The sequence below is a fragment of the Homo sapiens genome, chromosome 6, assembly GCF_000001405.40.
Source record: "Homo sapiens chromosome 6, GRCh38.p14 Primary Assembly".
Lineage (NCBI taxonomy): Eukaryota > Metazoa > Chordata > Mammalia > Primates > Hominidae > Homo > Homo sapiens.
The window spans coordinates 16,025,927-16,048,498 of NC_000006.12; the positions used below are offsets into that span (position 1 = coordinate 16,025,927).

The 22,572-nt window shown below is 40.6% G+C and overlaps 2 annotated features.

The window, feature by feature from the left end:
- Nucleotides 17,328-17,387: a silencer, noted in NCBI's record as "silent region_16954". NCBI's record gives its function as "represses an Ori minimal core promoter by ATAC-STARR-seq in GM12878 lymphoblastoid cells {active_cell/tissue: GM12878}" and the evidence as "EXISTENCE:reporter gene assay evidence [ECO:0000049][PMID:35858748]".
- Nucleotides 21,620-21,810: a transcriptional cis regulatory region, noted in NCBI's record as "candidate enhancer chr6.836 targeted for multiplex CRISPR interference". NCBI's record gives its function as "positively regulates MYLIP gene expression with high confidence in K562 cells {active_cell/tissue: K562}" and the evidence as "EXISTENCE:mutant phenotype evidence [ECO:0000015][PMID:30612741]".

Genomic DNA, 22,572 nt, shown 5'->3' on the forward strand with positions numbered 1-22,572 from the left:
GCCAAGATTGCAGAAACTTCGAGGAGGACCTACATACAGATTCCTGTCAAACTCCCCATTGAGGAAGCCTGCCTAGTTTCATGGTCCCCATTTGTAAAATAGGAACCTGCGCTAGATGTTTTTATAGTCTTTCTGAGTTCTGTGGGTTTTTTCTTCTTCTTTTTAATAATTCTATGGCTATCCCTTGGCTAGAATTTCAAGGGGATGATGCATCAAAGGAAATAGTTAACTTGACTTTTGGAGTTTAAGTCTTGAATTCTAGAGCTGAAAGGGATGTTTAAACTATCTGATTTAACCTCTGTAACCTAAAGATGAACTAACAGGAGACCCCAAATCTGTGGTTCCTCCAAACCCAGTCTGTCTACTGCTAATTCAAGGCTCTTTTTGATACACATCATTGCTTCACTAACCTCTAACTCCAGGATACCTAGAGCATTTTTGGGGTGAGTAGTTGGGATGTTGTCCTCCCACTACTCGACCACTCTTTCTTATTCCCATCATAATGTTCATCCTATTTGAGAACTTGAAGAAGCTGGCATTGATCAACAGGGAGTCTGTTGACCAAGATGTGGTATCATGAGAGATTCTGTGGGAATGCCAATGCCCCAGGTACCATGGAAGGAGGTGTAAGAGAGTGGGACTAAAAGGCCCAGCTTCTAAAGCTCAGCATTTCTATACACAGGAGCCGCAGATAGACCTAAGCTCATGTCCAAGGTGGAAGGTGCTCTCTAGAGAACACCAAAGGAAACAAAACCAGTTAATTATTAAATCATCTTATCATTAAACACAGATACAAACATCCTAATCAATATATTAAAACATTAACATACAAAAATAAAAAGCAATTATGACCGAAGTTGGAATGATTCCAGAATTGCATGTTTTGATTAATATCAAAATTGATTACCTAATGGCTCTAGACTTTATCAATGCTTGCCAACACAAAAAAAGAAAGAAAATCAGACATTGGGTGCTTCCTAATGGAAGAGCACCACACCACTGATGGCACATCCATGTCAAAAAATTTTTAAAAATCAAAGCGGAATCAAATCAAGCCTCTAGATTCAGCCACTAATTAAGAAATACAGAGGAACTAAGAAGCATGTTAAATGACATTAAGGGGATGCAATCAGAAAATCCAGATTGTGGATAATGCAACAGGATATTTGGGGTTTTTAAAACAAATAAATTACAAAAACATTTCTTAGAAAGATGAAGACTGACCTATAGATTAAAAGCGATTTAAAAGGCCTATCAAACAATCCTAGTGTGTAGACCTCATCTGAATCTCTGAATAAAAAAGGCAAAATGTAAAAACAAAACAAAATGAAAATAATTTATAAATAACATTTATAAGACAATTGAAAATTTGAATAAATACTAGTTATTTGATATTAATGAGTCATTAAAATTTTTTATGTACAAACGGTATTATAATTATGTTTTCAAAAAGAATCATACCTTTTAAAGATACATATTGAAATATTTATAGAAGAAATTATATGTTTTATAAAAACAGGGAAAAGGATGGGATATAGATGTAGAAAGTTTAGTTGTGAGTTGATAACTGTTAAAATTAGATGATGACTATATGGTACTCATTATATTATTTTGTCCACATTTGTATGTTTTTGAAATTCCCTTATTACATTGCATAGCTAAATTTGTTATAATTTTTCTTTTGATAGAAGCAAAACTAATCTAATAAAGCTTTTAGAAAATGAAGTGCTGTATGGAGAGGTTTCTTAAACAGAATGCAAATAGCATAACTGTAAACAAAAAGCTGGACAAGCTGGACTACTTCACAAACAGGAACTTACATTCATCAAACGATACAACTGAGAGTGGCAAGGCATGTGACAAAGTAGAAGGAAATAGGTGCTTCATTTAGAATAGACACAGAATTTCTACAACTCAATAAGGAAGAAAGAAACAATTGTGCATACATATTTAGCTATCTGTGTTTCATTTTGAGAATAAATCCACACCTGCTCAGAATCATTTGAGCTTCCGGGTCACAGTTTGTGTTTCCTACCCGAAGGATATTCCCTACTCCTGAATTCTACCAGTAGCTTCGAAATACGGAATTTGATAGCACAGTGATAGTAAAGACAAATAAATAGAAGCTCAAGTCACTTCTGTTCTATTATCCCTATTATCTAATAGAATAACTCTATTAGAGTTATTCTTTGGGATTAAAATTTAAAACAATGAAAGAGTGCAAACTATGGAGTGTAATTTTGCTTGGTAAGTGTAAATTTTACCTCTGTACAAATGATTTTTACTGAATTTTAATACTATTTTAATTTTTAGTTTATTTTAAAACTAAAGGACAAATCAAGAAAATTATTGATAATTATGCAATTACTTCTGAAACTCATTTTGTCACATAAAGTGTCATATGATCCTCTCTAAGTGTCAGATATTCTAGGTATTCTATTGCCTTGGTATCAAAAGACTTCTAAAAAAATTATAAAATGTTATTGAGATATTAAAGACCTAGACAAGTGGAAGTTAAAGAAGTGAAAGGCAATTATTATAAATATATTAATTCTTCCCAAGTCAATTTGTAAAGTCAAAAAAATCTCTCTTTTTTTAAAGAAACATAAAAGAATATAAATAAATTTCAATACTTTAAAATTAAGAGTACGTGTTTACCAAAAGTCACTACTAAGAAATTTAAAAGATAAGCCATAGAATTAGACAAATATTTGAAACATGTATAATTGACAACTAACTCATAACCAGAATATAATAATAAATCAAGAAACAAAATGTTGAACAAAAGAATCCAAAAAGCTAGACACAAAATAATACATACTGCATGATTCCATTTATATGAAGTATAAAAATAGAAGCAAATGTAAACTCTAGTTTTTTAGGGATGCCTTCTTAAGTGGTAAAACCATAAAGAAAAGGAAGGAAGCAGTTACTCTAGGAGTCAGAGAGCCGATGTCTTTGGGCTTCTGGGAGCTGGCAACCGTCTATTCCTGACCTCCATGGTGGTTGTATTGGTGTGTGCTTTGTGATAATTTATTGAACTGCACATATGTATACACTCCTCTTGTTCTGTGTTCACAGTCATAACTTTTTTTGCATTCGTGGAAGATAATAAAGGGGTGAAAGTGAGTCTATCCAGATTTCCCTTTCAAGAAACTGGGCTAAAGAGTCTGCCATAGCCCCTTGAATGAATCAGCCATCCCACGGAAACTTATGCCAATGCCCTGTTGTAGGCCCGTTTAGTCATATGTGGTTCTTTTTTGGTAGACATCAATAGTATGATAGTGAAAAATATTACCCCTCCTATGATGATGTCTTTTCAGGTAAATTATCTATCATGTAACAATCCTTCAAACACCACTCACCACCACCACCACTCACCACCACCACATCCTCTCCAGAATTCTTCCAGGCCAGGCTTGTTCTCTCTCTGCTCCTCATTCCCCATCTCTCTTGGTTTCTCTGCCCATATTGGACTTATACATTGGTTGTTTTCCACCCAGACCTTTAGACAGGTAATGGTTTTGAGCTGTCTATCTACTCTTTGGCTCTGAGTCCTCTCTCATATGACAGTTCTGCTTGTGAGCCCTCCCAGTGCTCTCTATCTTAGGTGGAAATGTTTATACTACCCACCAAAGAGAAGTGTGGAAATTGTGTTCAATGGGATTGAAACCTTGCAACAGCACAGATGTTTTAGATATATAGGTCTAACATCATATATGAATTATGCACAAGATGGAAGTATTCTAGTCTAATGGACATTCTGGTCTTGACTAGGTGTTCTTTAAACCTATTAGCTCACAAATTTAAACAAAGCAAACATTTTATTTAAAAGTAGTCAAATCCCATTGCTAAAGCATTTTGGAGATTAATTCTTATTTCTAGCAGTTGAGTGTATAAACAGGTTTTATTTAGTATTCATTAAGTATATGATCTACTGTTATTATTTATGCTCAAGAAGAGGTAGTGGAAGCAATATCTCTGTCTAAAAATGTGCATCCTTCAATAAAAGCCTATATAAAACATCTTAAATACTTCATATCAGTTTTTAGTTTATTTTATTGGAAATCTTTGCTTTTCCCTATAAATTAAAAATAAAGTAGCCTTCATTTTTAATTTCCACCTGAAAATCACTTCCTCAGTATGGATAGAATGACTGATTCCAAAACAGGTACTTTAAAGTCCTGAAATTGTCAATGTTTATGTTTTTATAAATGACAAATGACGACAGTGTTCTAGGCACATACAACTCATTGTTTGATGTTTTGTTTTAATCCAGTTTTCAGTTGACACAAGCTCTCTATAAGGGAAAAAATGAAAGAATCTTTCTCCCTGGAAAGCTAAATATTTTAGTCAGGTTTAAAAAGTATGTGTGTGAGCCCCACAGCAGTCGTAAGGAATGATAAACGCTCTTCTCCAAGGATTTGGTGTAGAGGGGTCATTTTTCGTCTCTATTATTTTTCCGTCATTTCTTGAAAAATCCCAGCCTGTTGCCTTTTCGTGTTATTAGGTGTGCCTTTTTTTCCCCAAGATTTCTGGGCTGTTGCTATAGGAAAAATATTGATGAAATTTAGCCTCATGTCCTTTTGCTCCTGGATTTCAAGTGGGGAACTACATAGCACTGCCCATGTCTCTCACGTCAACTACCTTGGGCCTTGTTTGTTTATGCCTAAAAGGAGGATCTCCTCTGTACTTTGGCCAACCTACTTATCTTGAACATTGCTAATTTCATCAATGAGTGTCCATTTCTCCATTCCTATAATCCATTTCCATTGGAATGAAGACTAAAGTTGTGAACTGAATTGATATGGCACCATTTAATTACTTTCCTTCCAAATTCAGTCAGTAATGCTAGCAGAGTGCTTAAGGATGCTGTAACATAACTAGCAAGGGTATATTTTATTGATTTATTCATTGATTCCTCAACTATTTATTGTTACCTACCATTTTGCAGTCACTGGGCTGGATACCAAGGATACAATGTGGAAAAGATAGACATGGTCCCTGCCCTCGGAGGACAACCAGCTTGTTTCAGACCCAGAAAAGTTCATACAACATCTCAAGGGCATGATAAATGTGGAAGTACAGGATATTATTGGAGCACCAGGAGGATTACTGGATCCAGCGTTAGGGAATCTAAGAAGGCTTCCTGAAAGAAGTTAATAGCTAAATAAAGATGTAAACATGAATAGAAATTAAGCAGGCAATGGCCGGGCGCGATGGCTCACGCTTGTAATCCCAGCACTTTGGGAAGTCAAGGAGGGCAGATTTCTTGAGCCAAGGAGTTTTAGGCCAGCCTGGGAAACATGGCAAAACCCCTGAGGGAGATGAGAGGAAGGAACCGGTGAGGCAGATAGTTAGGACAAGGTTCTTGGTAGAGGTCCTTCCGACAAAAGAGCAGCCTGGGAGAAATCAAGCTGCAAGTGCAGATAAGGAAGCAAGATCCAACAGCTTTGTCTCTTATGCAACCAGTGTGCTCTGCCTACACACGGTGGGCTTCAGTGAGCACATTCCTTTCCTTTTTGGGCATACGCAGATAAGGGAACTTGCATAGGGGGCTTGCTTAAGACAGACCTGCAGTTTTATAGATAAGGAAAGTTACACAGAACCAGACATGTCTGCAGTGGAAAATTCCATCTCCTGACACATGCACAGTAAGGAAAATAAAACAACATGGAGTAATTCAGGCTAAAGACCTGCATGCACACTAGAGGGACGGAGTGGAGATAATAAGAATTTGCACCGTTTCTTCCTGCCTTATGCAAATGAAACAGCCTGCTCCATTAGCTTGTTCATAAAAGCCTCTGCATTCAACTGTGAAATGAAAACCCTCTCAGGCCCTCAGGCCCCCTCTCTGCTGCAGAGAGCTTTCCTCTTTCACTTAGTAAACTTTCACTCCAACCTCACCCTTGGTGTCCACACTCCTTAATTTTCTTGGTTGTGAGACAAAGAACTCCAGGTAACACCTCAGACAATAAGACTGCTTCAGTGACCCTAGACTACTTCACCCCATCTCTACAAAAAATACAAAAATTAACCAGGCATGGTGGCACCGCCTGTAGTCCCAGCTACTTGGGAGGCTGGGATGGGAGGATGGCTTGAGCCCAGGAGGTGGAGGCTGCAGTGAGCCAAGATTGGACCACTGCACTCCAGCATGGGTGACAGAAGGGGACCCTGTCTCAAGAAACTAAATTAATTAAGCAGGCAAAACAAGGTGACCAAAAGGATCTATCTGTTCAAAGGCCTAGAACCAAAAAGAGAATATTAGCTACTTCGACAGGAATGTGGCTATCAGGGGAGACATGGTGTAAGAGCAGCACACCAAAGGTGAGATTTTGAAGGACAGAATATGTAGGATTTTGTAAGCTGAGTTGAAATCTTTGGGACTGATTCTCCTTGTGATAGGAAGCCATGGGAGTGTTTTCAGCATGTGAACCCAGGCTACCTCTGGTACTGGAAGTGATTTCAGAGGAACAGAATCTCAACCGATGGGTCTCTCAATTGGTGACAATTCCATGTCAATCTCACTGGAGTCCTCTGGGGCTGTCATTAGAAAGCTGCTTGATGAATTTTAGTCGCTAGAAGATCCTGTGTCACCCTCTGAGCTGATGAATGGCACAAAGAATGAGCCAGGTGGAGGCTGAGCTTTGGGATTATCTCTGTTTCACTCAGCTGGGCATTTTCCTCCTGGGCACTCATGTTTACAGTGAATTTGGAGGACAGAAACTAGTGATTAGCTGTGTCTGTGCTGGAAATGTTCAGTACATTGGACAAGTTGTTCTTCCTGAAGCATCACTAGTAGCTGCTGAAAATATCACATTGCTGAGTAGAGAAAGGATTGTTTATGAGGCTTGTTGTTTCCCAGCCTCCTGGTTTTCTGTGCCCTGAAGCTTTGGGAGGCAGGTCTTTGTTCAGGACGCAGGGGTGCAGGACCTCTAGGGTATGCAGTGAGCACAGTCACATAATATTTTGTTCTTCACCAAATTTCTAGGCTTCAATTGAGCACAAACTCCAGTGCAGACCCTCATCACACTGCCATTACTATACAGTTAAGGGACAGTCCTAACTGGTGTCCTGCCTCAACACCACCCCAACTTTGAGGGGTCAGCTCCCTAGAGCATCAGTTTTATTCTACTTCAAAAAGTATCAAGTGGTTCCTCAGCATCGGGAATAGTAGATCTCAGCTCTCCCGGCATGTTAGAGTCACCTGAGGAGATTTAAAAAATATCAATGACCCATGTTCACTATATGGATGATGAGACTGACAGAAGCCCAAACCTCAGCATCACAAAATATATCCTTGTAACAAACATTCACATGTCGCCCCTGAATCTAAAATAAAAGTTAAAAAAAATACTGTGGAGTTCTGACATGACAAGTAAGCAACATGAGGAAGAGGCCCCAGGCCGGGGAAAGGCCCCAGGTGGGGAAGAACAATGAATAATTGTTCTGAGAGATGGCTAATCACAAACAACTTGCAGGCACAAAGACTTCGGTGGTCACAATGACCTTGTTCTGCATGCAGCCCCCACCAGCATGACCTTATAAAACTTCCCTCCAGCCTGTGCCTTTTTGCAGACAGCCCCTTCTCTGCTGTCCTGCCTGTTGCAACCTTACCAAGTATTATCATTCCTTTTCTAATAATTCTGCCTTTCTTTACCTATGACTGTCTTGGTAAATTCTTTAACTGCCTGCACCACCGGCTCCAGATAGTCACTACCTGCAACACAGACCACTTGAATCAGCATCTCAGAATTTTTTTTATATATCTCCTAAAGTTATTTTAATGTGTAGCAGGGTTGAGAATTATTGACCTACCTAACAGAATCCAAACTCCTTAATTTGGTATTCAGAATCCTCCAGAATCTGGTCCTGACATGGATCTCATAACCTATCTCAGTGACCTTGCATGTACCTCAAGAGGCCCCACTTCTGAGCTAAGGGTCATAACAGAATCCCACCTAGAATGCCCCTCACTCTGGTCTGCTATGTCTGTTTGTCCAGATCTGCCTGCTCTCCAAGTCCTTCACCAAGGCTCAACTCAAGTCCTTCACCAAGGCTCAACTCCTCTCAGGTCCTCCAGCCTATCATGACCCTCCTTTCTGACTTTCTAAACACTTCATTTTCCAAAAATACAACTTTATGGTAAGTCATAATGGTGACTTATATTATGATTGGTCTTTTATATTCTTATTTATTTTTGCTTGCATGTATGTCTCTTCTCTCCAACTCAATTCTTGAACATTCTCTCAGGGCAAAAGATCTTGTAGGTGGTTGGTGAAAATTTATAGAATAAAAGAATGAATGAACACAATAACAGCAACTTTTTAAAAGTCCCTCAAATCAATTGGGGGTAGGGAGAGTGTGAGGAAAGAGTTAACACAGCAGGTCTGATTGCTTAGTTTTGCCATCTCCAAAGGCACCTGGAACCCATGATTTACCATCCTCTGGGAATGTGGCCCTCAAAGAATTCTTTATGCTAGTGACAGATGATTTTGTTAGAAATACCTGGATCAATGAACCATGCCACACCAACTTGTCAGGTTGCTTCGCACAAACATCAAGATTGATAATGTGTAGCTACTTCTACTGTTGGAGTCTTGAGTTTCTGTTGCCATGGCTGCATACATACTAGGAGATGCCTACGTGACCAGTCTCCTACCCACGACATCCCCACCCAGACTCACGGAGGCTTCCCTAGGTGGAGATACACCACATATGTCCCTGTATTTCATTGCTAGAGAGAACATTTCAATGTAGTCTTAGAAGGGAAATGACATGAAAGTCTGTGTCTGTGCATATCTTTCTCTTGTTACCTTTCTTCTGTGTCATTTGCTGTAATAAAGCAGACCTGTGAATATCAGATATTTTTAAAAAATGAATGAATGGAATAAGTGAAATGAACAATGAAATGAAATGGCCAGGGGATACATGCATTTTCTATTTTCCAGTGCATAATGGCTGAATCTGTATTGAGATGCATTTACCTTAAACTGTAAAACCCACTCTGGCAAAGATGGGCTTTGCTTGGAAAAATATTTAACATATATGATTAAAATAGAATTTAATGAGTGCCTGAGTGTTTTAATGCTTGGTTACCTCTTCGCTCACTTAGCTCCAAAGAGACACTTCTTGGACACAAATTCTTCTCACCAAATTGTTTGCCAAGCAAGCCTACTTCCCTGTTGCCTGTCATACTTACCTGGTATAGTATATTCAGAACACTTTCCTCCCAGGCGAAAATGATGCTGCAGTTTCATTCAACATCTCCCTCAAAGGCAAGTTGAATATATGCCAGCATGTGGGTCACCTGTCTGCACACACAGGTAGTAGAGAATGGCTCAAATAAGAAAGAAAAGAGCAGGCAGGAGTGGTGGCTTATGCCTGTAATCCCAGCACTTTGGCAGGCAAAGGTAGGTGGATGGTTTAAGCCCAGGAGTGCAAGTCCAGCCTGGGCATCACAGCGAGACCCCATCTCTACAAAATATAAAAAAATTAGCTGGGCATGGTGGTACCTGCCTATAGTCCCAGCTACTCAGAAGGCTAAGGTGGAAGGATCACTTGAACCCAGGAGATCAAGGCTGCAGTGAGCCAAGATCGTGCCACTGCACTCCAGTCTGGGTGACAGAGCAAGACCCTGTCTGAAAGAAAAAGTAACAAAGGAAGGAAGGAAGGAAGGGGAGAGAAGAAAGGAAAAGAAAGAGAGAGAGGAAAAAAAAGAGAAAAGAGAAAGAAAAAGAAGGAAGGAAGGAAGGAAAAGAAAGAGAGAAAGAGGAAAAAAAGAAAAAAGAAAAAGAAGGAACGAACGAAGGAAGGAGAGAGAAAGAAAGAAAGAAAGAAGGAACGAATGAACTGAGTTTGACAGTGTCTGCTAAGGAAGGCTAATGACACCAGTGGTGGGAAAAAGCAAGACAGCCATACTTTGGAATCTGAATTCTGTTCACATTATGCACACTTTTGATAGAGAGAACATGGCAGGAACAGAAAAGAAGCTGGTGATAACTTGACTGGTGTGACCTCTGAGAGTGAAGAGGGGAGATAGGTGAGAGAACAAGTGTTATAACAGTCCCCAGACCTTTGCAAGTTCCTTACTAATGCTCATAATCAATTATCTAAAAATAATTTTGATTTTTAAAAAATCTTCCTTCAACTTCCTTTGTCCTCTGTGTTTCAAGAAGCTGTGGCAGACATGTTTCCTGACATTGACATTTTCATCCGTAGAGAAAGCCTGGGGACTTTGGTAATAGCTGATCACAGGAATCCTGGATGACCGTCATGGGCTTTGTCTCTTTGGTTCTACTCTAATTAGATGATCACAGCCAACTCTCTTGACATATCCACAAGGGGCTGGAGAGCCTTGGCAATGAATCCACCAGTCAAGCAGAGAGCACAAGCGGTTTGGGTCAAAGAGGTAGCTAGAAATCTCACCTTGATGTCACATCATTTGTCTGGAAATTAGTCCACAGGCTTAAAAAGGAGGGTATAAAACTTTGTAGATACATAACATAGATGAACTTTGCCATATTTTATTGTAGGTTAAAAGATCTGGAATTTGAGTTATTTGATAGTAATTTTTAAAAAAAGAATTTTTTCACATAAACCCAGAAATGCTAAGGAAAGCTATAAATAATAAATTTGAGTAAGCCAATCATATTTTGATAGGCTAGAATCACTTGATATTTAAAAGAATTCTACAATGGACATTTTTGCAGTATGAAAAAACATCCCATATGTTTCTCTGCATTTTAAACTGTTTTAGGATCTGAATTATTCTGAAAATTGTGTCCACTGAGTAAGATAAAAGATACTGCATTTTTGGTTGTGGTTGTTGCTTCTTTGTCCATTGTTCCCGGGCTTATTTAGCCATGATGACAGAGTGGCATGACTGCAAATCAAGGAATTTTTTTTTTTTTATTTAGCTATAACCACATGGGGCTCCATTATATTCCACCAGTTCCCTCTGCAGGAGAGGCACAGGTAGAAGGCCACCTGAACATTCATGCCCAGAGCTGTGAGGTGTAGAAGGCAGTAAGGTGCCCCTGCCAGGCAGGCATGAATCATTGACTCCTCTCTTCTTCCTGCATCTTTCAACATATGAATGAAGTTGTGTTTATTTCAGGGCTTCAGGTTAAAGAACCCAGAAATGTTTCTTCCCTGGGAACCTTACTGGGGAGTGTGGATTCTTTGACAGCCAAGACGCCTTGGGCTCTAAAGCACATATCTTACAATAAGGCCAACTCTTTTCAGAAATCCAGGAACAGGGCACTCAAGTGCAAACCCAAATCCTGCATGGCTTGAGCTTTTCAAAGTAAATAAGTAATTATGGAGGGCCTACAAGTCTGGGACTGTGCTGTGTAACATGGATTACCTCCCTTAGCCCACGGAATATCACTGCGGGCAGATGTTATTTATATCTCCTTATTACAAACAAGGAAGCTTAGGGTCTCAGAGGTTAAACTACTTGCACAGTCACAGCTAGCAAGTGGCAACATTCGAATTTTAACCTAGCAGGTCACGTTCCAGAGTCAATGCCCTAAAATGTTTAACTTTACTGGCCACATCCAGTGAAGAGCTGCCATCTCCATTTCAGCTTAGCACTGAGCTATTATTTCCTATTGAATCCTTTTTCAGCTTTCTGGGTCCTTTTTACATAAGGACCCTAGGCTTGCTGATTTTCTGTATATATATATATGTTGGGAGCAAGCCCCCCCAAAATCTGGCCATAAACTGGCTCCAAAACTGGCCAGAAACAAAATCTCTGCAGCACTGTAACATGTTCATAATGGCCCTAACGCACAAGCTGGAAGGTTGTGGGTTTACGGGAATGAGGGCAAGGAACACCTGGCCCACCCAGGGCAGAAAACCGCTTAAAGGCATTCTTTTTTTCTTTTCTTTTTTTTTTTTTTGAGACAGAGTCTTGCTCTGTCGCCCAGGCTGGAGTGCAGTGGCAGGATCTCCGCTCACTGCAAGCTCTGCCTCCCGGGTTGATGCCATTCTCCTGCCTCAGCCTCCCCAGTAGTTGGGACTACAGGCGCCCGCCACCACGCCCGGCTAATTTTTTGTATTTTTAGTAGAGACGGGGTTTCACCGTGTTAGCCAGGATGGTCTCGATCTCCTGACCTTGTGATCCGCCCACCTTGGCCTCCCAAAGTGCTGGGATTACAGGCGTGAGCCACTGCACCCGGCCTAAAGGCATTCTTAAGCCTCAAACAATAGCAAGAGCAATCTGTGCCTTAAGGACATGCTCCTGCTGCAGTTAACTAGCCCAACCTATTCCTTTAATTCGGCCCATCCCTTCGTTTCCCATAAGGGATACTTTTAGTTAATTTAGCATCTATAGAAACAATGCTAATGACTGCTTTGCTGTTAATAAATACATAGGTAAATCTCTGTTTGGGGATCTCAGCTCTGAAGGCTGTGAAACCCCTGATTTCCCACTTCACACCTCTGTATTTCTGTGTGTGTGTCTTTAATTCCTCTAGTGCCGCTGGGTGAGGGTCTCCCCGACCGAGCTGGTCTCAGCATATATATATCTATGTCTGTATCTCCTTGTATCCTTCTAGAGTGCATTGCAAAGGAATGGTAACGGGTGCTGCTCATTTGTTTGCCTATTTGTGACCCCTGATTTGGGGTACTATTTTTAGTCCTGATACAGTCTTCATTTCTACCTGTCTGAAGCGATGAGATGGAGAAAGAGACTCCCCGCCGATCCCTGTCATAACTGTTAAGCTCCACTGGGACAGAAAGCCCTTGCTGGTTTCTCAAACCTCTGAATTAGGTTTTAAAAAGAGCACAGGGTTCCAAGCACAAACAACAAATCTTCCTTCTAATCTGTTTTTGGATCAAACAATTGTATAGTACCACAGCATAGTAATATGCAAACCTGAAATTAGCCTTAATAATACTCTCAGTGATACTCAGTAGGTCTCATTATTTCAGTCACAGGGTAATGCAGGGTGGATGTAAACACAATTTATGTGAAAGTATACAGCAAGTGGTCTCAAAATGCCTACTATGTGTCATTCAATAGGGATGTAGATATGGATGGGATATTGACCTTCACGATGTAACAGAGAAATGAGACAATAATTATGTTATACATATATAAAATGATAAGTGCAAAAGAAGTTCTCAAAAATTTTTTCTCAATATTTCAGTTCCTTTTTTCTTCCCTTTCCCCCTACCACCTACACTCCCACACCATATGATGCCCCTCACTGCTGGCTTTTCTGGGCCACCCACTGTGACTTCTTATGAAGACCTAAATTTTTCCCTAACAGCAAAGTTTCTGACCTATGTCAGCCTTATCTCACACATCAAAACTTAATCTTACTGTGTTCTATTTCCTTAAAACAACGAATAGACTCATCCAAAGATGTCAGTTACTAATAAAGATTTGACAGTCATTTATATGTTAACAACAGTCTGTATACCTTGACCCCTAGGGGTAAGACTTTGAGCAAGAACTGAAAAGACAAGACATATTAATAGACATAAACATATTGTTAAGACGCTAAAATTTGTAAAATTTTTTCTGCTTGGGCTTTTTAACATGAGGTTTCCCATCATGCTGTGATCAGAATTGCTGGGTTCTTGGTCTCACTGACTTCAAGAATGAAGCCGTGGACCCTCGCAGTGAGTGTTACAGTTCTTAAAGATGGTGTGTCCGGAGTTTGTTCCTTCTGATGTTCGGATGTGTTTGGAGTTTCTTCCTTCTGGTAGGTTCGTGGTCTCGCTGGCTTCAGGAGTGAAGCTGCAGACCTTCGTGGTGAGTGTTACACCTCTTAAGGTGGTGCCTCTGGAGTTGTTTGTCCCTCCTGTCCAGAGTTGTTCATTCCTCCCAGTGGGTTCGTGGTCTCGCTGGCCTCAGGAGTGAAGCTACAGACCTTCACAGTGAGTGTTACAGCTCATAAAAGCAGTGGGGACCCAAAAAGTGAGCAGCAGCAAGATTTATTGCAAAGAGCGAAAGAACAAAGCTTCCACAATGTGGAGGGGGACCCCAGCAGGTTACCGCTGCTGGCTGGGCAGCCTGCTTTCATTCCCTTATCTGGCCCCACCCACATCCTGCTAATTGGTCCATTTTACAGAGAGCTGATTGGTCCATTTTGACAGGGTGCTGATTGGTGTATTTATAATCCCTGAGTTAGACACAGAATGCTGATTTGTGCGTTTACAATCCTTTAGCTAGACAAAAAAGTTCTCCAAGTCCCCACTAGATTAGCTAGACACAGAGCACTGATTGGTGCATTTACAAACCTTGAGCTAGACACAGAGTGCTGATTGGTGCATTTACAATCCCTGAGCTAGACACAGAGTGCTGATTGGTGCATATACAATATTCCAGCTAGATATAAAAGTTCTCCAAGTCTCCACCTGACTGAGGAGCCCAGCTGGCTTTGCCTAGTGGATCCCGTGCGGGGGCCATGGTGGGAGCTGCCCGCCAGTCCTGCACCATGCGCCCACAGTCCTTAGCCCTTGGGCAGTCGATGGGACCGGGTGCCGCGGAGCAGGGGGCAGCACCCGTTGGGGAGGCTCTGGCCTCGCAAGAGCCCATGGGGGCGCAGCTGAGGTCCAGCGAGAATTCCAGCATAGCACAGGTGGGCCGGCAGTGCTGGGGGACCTGGTGCCCCCTCTGCAGCTGCTGGCCTGGGTGGTAAGCCCCTCACTGCGGCTGCCTGCTCTGAGTGCGGGTCCTGCCAAGCCCACGCCCACCCAGAGCTCGCGCTGGCCCGCAAGCCCACGCGCAGCCCTGGTTCCCACCTGCGTCTCTCCCTCCACACCTCCCCCGCAAGCAGAGGGAGTCAGCTCCCACCTGGGCCAACCCAGAGAGGGGCTCCCACAGTGCAGCGGTGGGCTGAAGGGCTCCTCAAGCGTGGCCAGAGTGGATGCCGTGGCCTGAAGAGGTTCCGAGAGGGAGCGAGGGCTGCTAGCACGTTGTCACCTCTCATTGCCACCACTGAAATACCCGTTATTTATCTGGGCCTTCCAAAGTCTTCCCTGATCTGTATACAGTTTAAGAGAAGAATTTTATTTTCCTCCATAATGATTGATATTTTTGTCAAAGGCATCAGCAATGAGTGTAAATTTGCATTTTAAATTTACAATGATTTATTTTTAATGAAAAGTGTCGCTGTTGCAGTTAGTCTAGCTGATAGGGATTCAAGATTGATAGTGAAAGAATATTAGAAATATGAGCATCCCTATGAAGGAAAAGATTGGCACACTTGACTTCATAATTTAAAACCTCTGTACGAGAAAAGATTCCATAAACAAAATTACATGACAAACAGCAGACCTGGAGAAAATACTTGCAACATACATAATCAAAGGGTTATTAAGCATTAAGACCCTGTGAGAAGTTCCTCGCACTCAATAAGCAAAAGGCAGGCAACCTAATTTATATGAAGACAAAAATAAAGACTAAGAGAAAACCACAAATGATTAAAAAGCGCACAAGATTCAAACCTTCAGACGACTGAAGGAAGTCCATTTCTTGAACCTCTATTTGTAAATTTTTCATAAATCCTCAAAATGATTTGTAAGGAAGTTTTTCTTCTCTTTTCTCAAAGAAATGTGTGGGAAGGGCTGTGTTAATTTCAGTTTCCTTCACAGTGGGTTTCTGACATTCTACTTCATTAGTCTTCATTGTCTTGAAGTCATCTTGTTTACTTCAGATCTTCTACAGCTTTTCTGTCAGCAGCACAGTGAAACCTCATCTATCCAGCAGCAACTTCAATCCTCTGGAATCCCCTGGCTTTCTTACTTAAGCTTAAAAAATCTTCTTTTTTTTCCTCAACCATCTAATCACCATCTGCATCCAGCATTTTGAAGTAATATTTTGAAGTAATGGTAAGATGGATAACCTAGTTACTCACTGATTTCCTAGACACAATAGCATGATATGCTCTCTGGAAAAGTAAACAAGTTTTATGAGGGGAAAAATGTACTTGATACACAGGGCCAGTATCAATTCTAGAAGTCCTGATGTTCCTAATAGGGTAAAGGAAGTTAAAAACTTATTTAAGGTTTTCCCATCTGTAGGTTAGACCCCATAAACTTCTTGTATATATTATTTCAGTTAGTTTAGCTGTATATTAGTTGTCTTTAAAATAACATGTAAATTTTAATATCCTATTTGGGAATGGAAGAAAGTATTTACATAGATACATAGATACAAAAAAATGCTTGAAAAGAAGCTTAATCTGATGAATTAAAGATGTGCGAGGTCTCTGCTTATCAGACTGACGAGGCTGGAAAAGATTAATATTTAGTGTTAATGTTGGCAAACAGTGCTGAGTGGGAGCATTAACTGGTCTCACTTCTCTGTAGAGCAACACAGCAACATTTGTCAAAAATATAAATAAATGTCTTTTTTACTCAGCAAATCTTCCAAGGATCTTTATGGGATAAATATTTGCAAAAGTGGATGAATATGCGTGTTCAAAAATCTTGATTGTAGCCTTGTAATAATGAAGTCATTGAGAACCATTTCAACATTGGCCAACAGAGGAGTGGATAAACACATTAAAATACATTCACAGGCGAGGCGCGGTGGTTCGTGCCTGTAATCTCAGCATTTTGGGAGGCCGTTGTGGGCAGATCACTCAAGGTCAGGAGTTTGAGACCAGCCTGGCCAACGTGGTGAGACCTCCGTCTCTACTAAAAATACAAAATTTAGCTGGACATGGTAGCACACACCTGTAATCCCAGCTACTTGGGAGGCTGAGGTGGGAGGATTGCATGAACCTGGGAGGCAGAGGTTGCAGTGAGCTGAGACCGCACCACTGCACTCCAGCCTGGGTGACAGAGTGAGACTCCATCTCAAAAAATAATAATAATAAAAAATGAAATAAAATACATTCACACCGCACATGCAAGCAGCTAAAAAATGAGTAAAGAGTGTACTCCTATGCAAGGATGTCACTTTCTTTATTTTTTACAGTTCCAGGACAATATATACATTATACACTTTTGTAATTAGCAACAAACAACATAATCGTATATCTAGATGTAGGTGTGGGTATGTGTTCGTAGATAAATGGGTGACTCAAACTACTGGCAGTGACCTCTAGGGAGGAGCTTGGGATTGGAACAAGGAAATATTTAAAATTTTTATTTTAATTTCTAACTTGCATTAAAAAAACTTTCATTATTAACATACTAAAAAAAGAGAAGTTTTAACATTTTCTTATAAAATAGTATGCAAATTACTCAGATTCCATTATAGTGCTACTGCATTCTAAAAGAGTTTGTCTGTCTCTTCAAATGCCTCCATTGATAATGCACATTTACCCGTATTTCCCACCAGTTATTTGAAAATCTGGAAAGAGCACTACACTGAAAGTCGGGATGTGTGAGTTCGAGTTTCTGTTGACCTGTCTGTTTGCAGATCAGTACTTTCACTTCTCTGAATCTCTAAAAATGGACCTTGGTAAGATGACTGATTTTCTAACTCTGCTCCCTGCAGACACAAGGAACTCTTCTCCACAAGCACCTACCACCCACCACCCTGCTTTTCAGCCAGAGCTGCTCTGGTTCTCTCTGTTTTATTCATTTTCATATCCACCTATGATTTTGTCTGATTCTGAGCAACAGTCATCTGAAAATATTCAGAAGAGATTATTTTAAGGCTTCTTCTAGAACCAATACTTCTTGCATCTCTAAAACCCAAGTGCTGATTAGGGGAGGCAGTCAACCCTTAAGTTTACTCCAGCTAGGAAGCTGCCTGTCTTCCTCATACATCGGGCCAGAAGCATAGACCTTCTGTATTTTTTTTCAGAATGTAAATTTGGGCTGTTGAGGCTGTAATGGAGATGAATGAGAAGAAACAAAGTGCATGTGTCACAACACAAGAGGCAAAGAGGGCTGCTGGGGAAACAAGGAATTCTTGATCTGCCCTTTCTTCAAATGACCACTGAGCCAGTTGGCATTAGTCTTGGCGTAATGATTTTGCTTGTTGTCTGTGAACATGCTCTGTTCAGAAATAATAGTTGGCAGGATGCCTTGAGAATACATTCACTAGGGAATTGTAATTCATGACTTACTGTTAAAGGTCACACCAGAAACTAGAACCAGCTCTTAATCAACAGCTGAATGGGAGAGGGCCAAGGCCTTATCTTCACTTTCAGAGCCATTGAAATTCAGTGCTTCAGGGGCAGCACCATTCAGCCCAGTAAATTGTGTATAATTTAATAATTTGGCCTCCCAGGGAGCCAAGAGGCCAAAGAAAGAGGCTGACATATCCAGTTTCTCAGAAAGAAACATTTAGTAGGGACTTAGGAACAGAAGCCATGTCTGTGTCTCGGGTGGTGGGAAAACAAGATGGTGGGTCCTGTGCCATTATCCCACAGACCAAGGGCTTATGCACCATAGGGGAGGAGTGATTCAGAAGGGATGTGTAGGACAATTGAAGTATGATAACAGCAACGTTGTTGGACCTAAGGGCAAGATTTATGGTAAGTACCTGCTCTCAGAAGGAACAGTAGATAAACTGGAAATTTTAGAGGCTTTCCCAGAACTGGAGTTAATGAGAAGCCAACATGCCAGATTAGAAATCTAAGATGGAGTTGCTTTGGCCTCCATGCCATCCTCTCAAGACACTAAATATGTCATAGTGAACTCATCTCTAACACCACTGTCTGCATCATGAGTGGCATCCAGTGGCTATGGAACTATTTGCCAAAGTAGGAATTGAAAAACAGTGTCAAGATGGAGCATTCATTTGTCACATTCCCATTTCACAGCCCAGACATAATGACATAGGTTGGTCATTTATTCTGTCATTCTATTTTTTCCATAGGAAAGTCTTAATACTGTGTTTAAAATATCACCAACTGAACCTACTTGACTTTAACTCATTGAATTCCCTGGTTGCCTCTTAACACTTCTACATATACCACATAGCACTGAAATTAGCTGTTATCCTTTGGATTTGTGTTATTAAAGGAAGGTTCTGTCTCCTATTTCTCTTATATCCCCTCTGAGATCCAAATAAAATGCTAACAGCCAATAGACTAAATGTGACTAAAATTTTTTTGCCATTAAAGAGACAAGAAACAGGAGAGAAGCAATTTGAGATATGTTATACTGACAAATAAGCATATTAAATGTAACAGTGTGCCTCGATTGGACACTTTAAAGAGTAAGCTACAAAGGAAGGGAAGAGTGGATAAACAGGGAACTGTCTCTGTTATTTAAATAAAAAATAAAGTTGAATCACCAAAGGGCTGCCATATAAACAATTTTTAAGCACTTCTTACATGTCATTTTGTATAAGTTATTTACTGACACAATGATGCTGAGAATCCAACTACCCCAAAACTCAGTGGCTTAAAACAATAAACATGTATTTAGCTCTCAACACTCTGTAGATTAGTGATTTAGATTGGGTTCAGTTGCAGGATTTTTCTCATCTCGGCTTGGCCCGCTCACACATCTGGAGATGAGTTAGTTGTCAGCTGTTAGCTGGGTCACATGATTCTCATCTTCCAGCAGGCTAGCCCAGGCAGGCGTTCGTGGCAGTGTCAGAAGGCAAGAGCAAGAGCAAGTCTCAATATGCAGGTCCTTTACAAGCCTCTATTTGCATCATGTTTGCTAACAGCCCACTGGGCAAAGTAAGTTGCATGGCTGAGCCCAGAAGCAGAGAGGGAGGGCACCACACAGTTACAGAATAAAGAACATGAACACTTGAAGAAATAAAGAATTAGGGCCCCAAATACTATCTCCCCACAGACTCTGTGCTCACTTAATTGATGCCACCTCATTTAATTTCACAATAACTCTATAGATATTTTTACTATTACTTCCAGTCAATAGATATAAATACTAAGGATAAGAGAAAGACCAACCAAGTGGTGATGAATAGAGTCACTACCTCTTCCCCTCTTTTATAGGGTCTTCTGTCTGCATATATTTTAGAATTTCTCAAACCTTGATTATTTATAGAAAAGATATGGAAAATTATGGCAAAGAGAGCGAGAGAGAGAGAGCTTTCAAATAGAATGGTGTTTGGCAGAGAATGGCAAAGTTAGGAGCTAAAGAGCCTAGTCTATATATTCCACTTGCGTGTGACCTGGAGCCGCTATGTTTTGGCCACTTTCTCCAATTTGGAATAACTGTATTTACTCAATACCTGTACCCCCATTGTATCTAGGAAGTAACTAACTTGCTTTTGATGTTACAGACTCATAGGCAGAAGGACTTCCCTTGTCTCAGATGAGACTTTGGACTATGGACTTTTGAGTTAATGCTGAAATGAATTAAGACTTTGGGGGACTATTGGGAAGGCATGATTGGCTTTGAAATGTGAGAACATAACATTTAGGAGGGGTCAGAGGCAGAATGATTTGGTTTGGTCATGTCCCCACCCAAATATCATCTTGAATTATAGCTCCGACAATTCCCACATGTTGTGGGAGGGACCTGGTGGGAGATAATTGAATCATGGGGGCAGTTTCCCCCATACTGTCCTTGTGGTAGTGAATAAGTCTCACGAAATCTGATGATTTTATAAGAGGAAACCCCTTCACTTGATTCTTATTCTCTCTTTGCCTGTCACCATGTAAGATGTGCCTTTTGCCTTCAGCCATGATCATGAGGTCTCCAGAGCCACGTGGAACTGTGAGTCCATTAAACCTCTTTTCCTTTATAAATTACCAAGTTTCGGGTATGTCTTTATCGGCAGCATGAAAATGAACTAATATACGTACATTATTTTCAACTTGTGTGCATGTGTACACACACATATAATGTAAGGAAGCATTTCAAACTGTTAAAAGCTGTAGGACCATAAACAATATAGGTTTTTTCTTTCTCTTGTTTTTCAAAACTTTTGCAATTACTTGCATGTTAAAGGTTAGCATTATTTTAATAAAATATTATACAAAAGAAAATGTAATAGTTAATGAATGTTGCATTAGTCCATTCTCATGCTGCTATAAAGATGCTACCTGAGACTGGGTAATTTATAAAGAAAGGAGGTTCAATTGACTCACAGTTCCACATGGCTGGGGAGGCCTCAGAAAACTTACAATCATGGTGGAAGATGAAGGGAAAGCAAGGCACGTCTTCCAGGGCAGCAGGTGAGAGAGAAAGCACAAGGGAAACTGCCACTTTTAAACCATCAGATCTCATGAGCACTCCCTCACTATGACAAGAACATCACGGGGGAAACCACCCCCATAATCCAATCACCTCCCATAAGGTCCCTCCCTAGGCACATGGGGATTACAATCTGAGATGAGATTCAGGTGAGGACACAGAGCCAAGCCATATCAAATGTGTTCTAATTAAGGTCTAAAAATACTAGTGTTATCATCATTCAAAATCTCTAAAATGTGTATCTAATACAGTATGCAGAAGGAAACATCATAAGAGCTAGACTCAGGGTTAGAAGAAAAAAATTGTATTCCCAAAATCCTCAATGTGAGTTTGATAAAAAATTCTGGAAGTAAAACCAAGCTCTAGACATCAACAAGTTCACTGGCTTTTCATACTTGATTTTAATAATAGAAACCCCTGTTACTTTTACAAGAAAATGTAGATGAACTCAAACAAGTAAAACTGCTTCATTTGAAACCAAACCCTCCAGCAGTATGCTTGAACTCTATAGTAACCTATTTGGAATCCACTGACCTAGTCCAACCCATGACTTTCCAGATGAACAGATCCCCAGATGGAAGGGGCTGATCTTCCTCTCCTCTAATCCAGGGTCAGATAAGAGGAGGCCCCATGCTACCTCTCAGCAGTCCAGGGCCAGGTGACTCTTATCATCATTGCAAGACACAAAGTCAAAGGTAGAGAAGAAAATCATGTCCCACAGGACTGTGAGAGAGAAAAGGCAAAGGTACAAACCACGTTGTCCTTGAAGGGCCAGAAGGCAGAGACTAAATCTAAGAGCCAGTGCCTGCTTTTCTGAGACTCCAGTGATGGCTTGCACAACTACTCCAGGTTGGTGTACGGAGTCAGGATGGGGCAGATATGGAATGTCTTGTGGATGAGGGTCACATGGCCAACTAGTGAAACTCTAGGACTGAAGGCCAGGTGTTTCAACTTAGTAAGATGGCCTGGCTAATTCACACACAAACACACACACACACATGTAAACCTATGTAAACCACATAAACTTCACATTCCAGTGTTCACCTTATTGAATATGTCCTTCTTGAGATCTTCAATGATCAACCTCAATGCCAATCCAATGAATAATTTCATTCATTTTCCTATGTAATCTCTCCTTTGTCTTTTCCTTTGGCCGTCTTCTCACTATATATTTTCTCAGAACTCTATCACCCTCTCCCATTGCATCAATTAGCATCTAGTTTTAGTGATCAGACTCCAGTGTGCTTAAGAGTCATCTGAAAAGTAGGATTAAAATGACGATCTGGGGCCCATTCCCAGAGGAGTTGGCTGCCAGGGTTTTGGGGGTGGGTGCAATGTACACAGATGGTCTTTGAGAAACACTGAACAATATGGTAATGATTCTCAAAGTGAGTCTCCAGTCCAGATCTTTCTCCTGGGCTCGAGGCCTAAAATCTCAACTGCTCGATACATTTGGAGAAATCCTGTCACTTT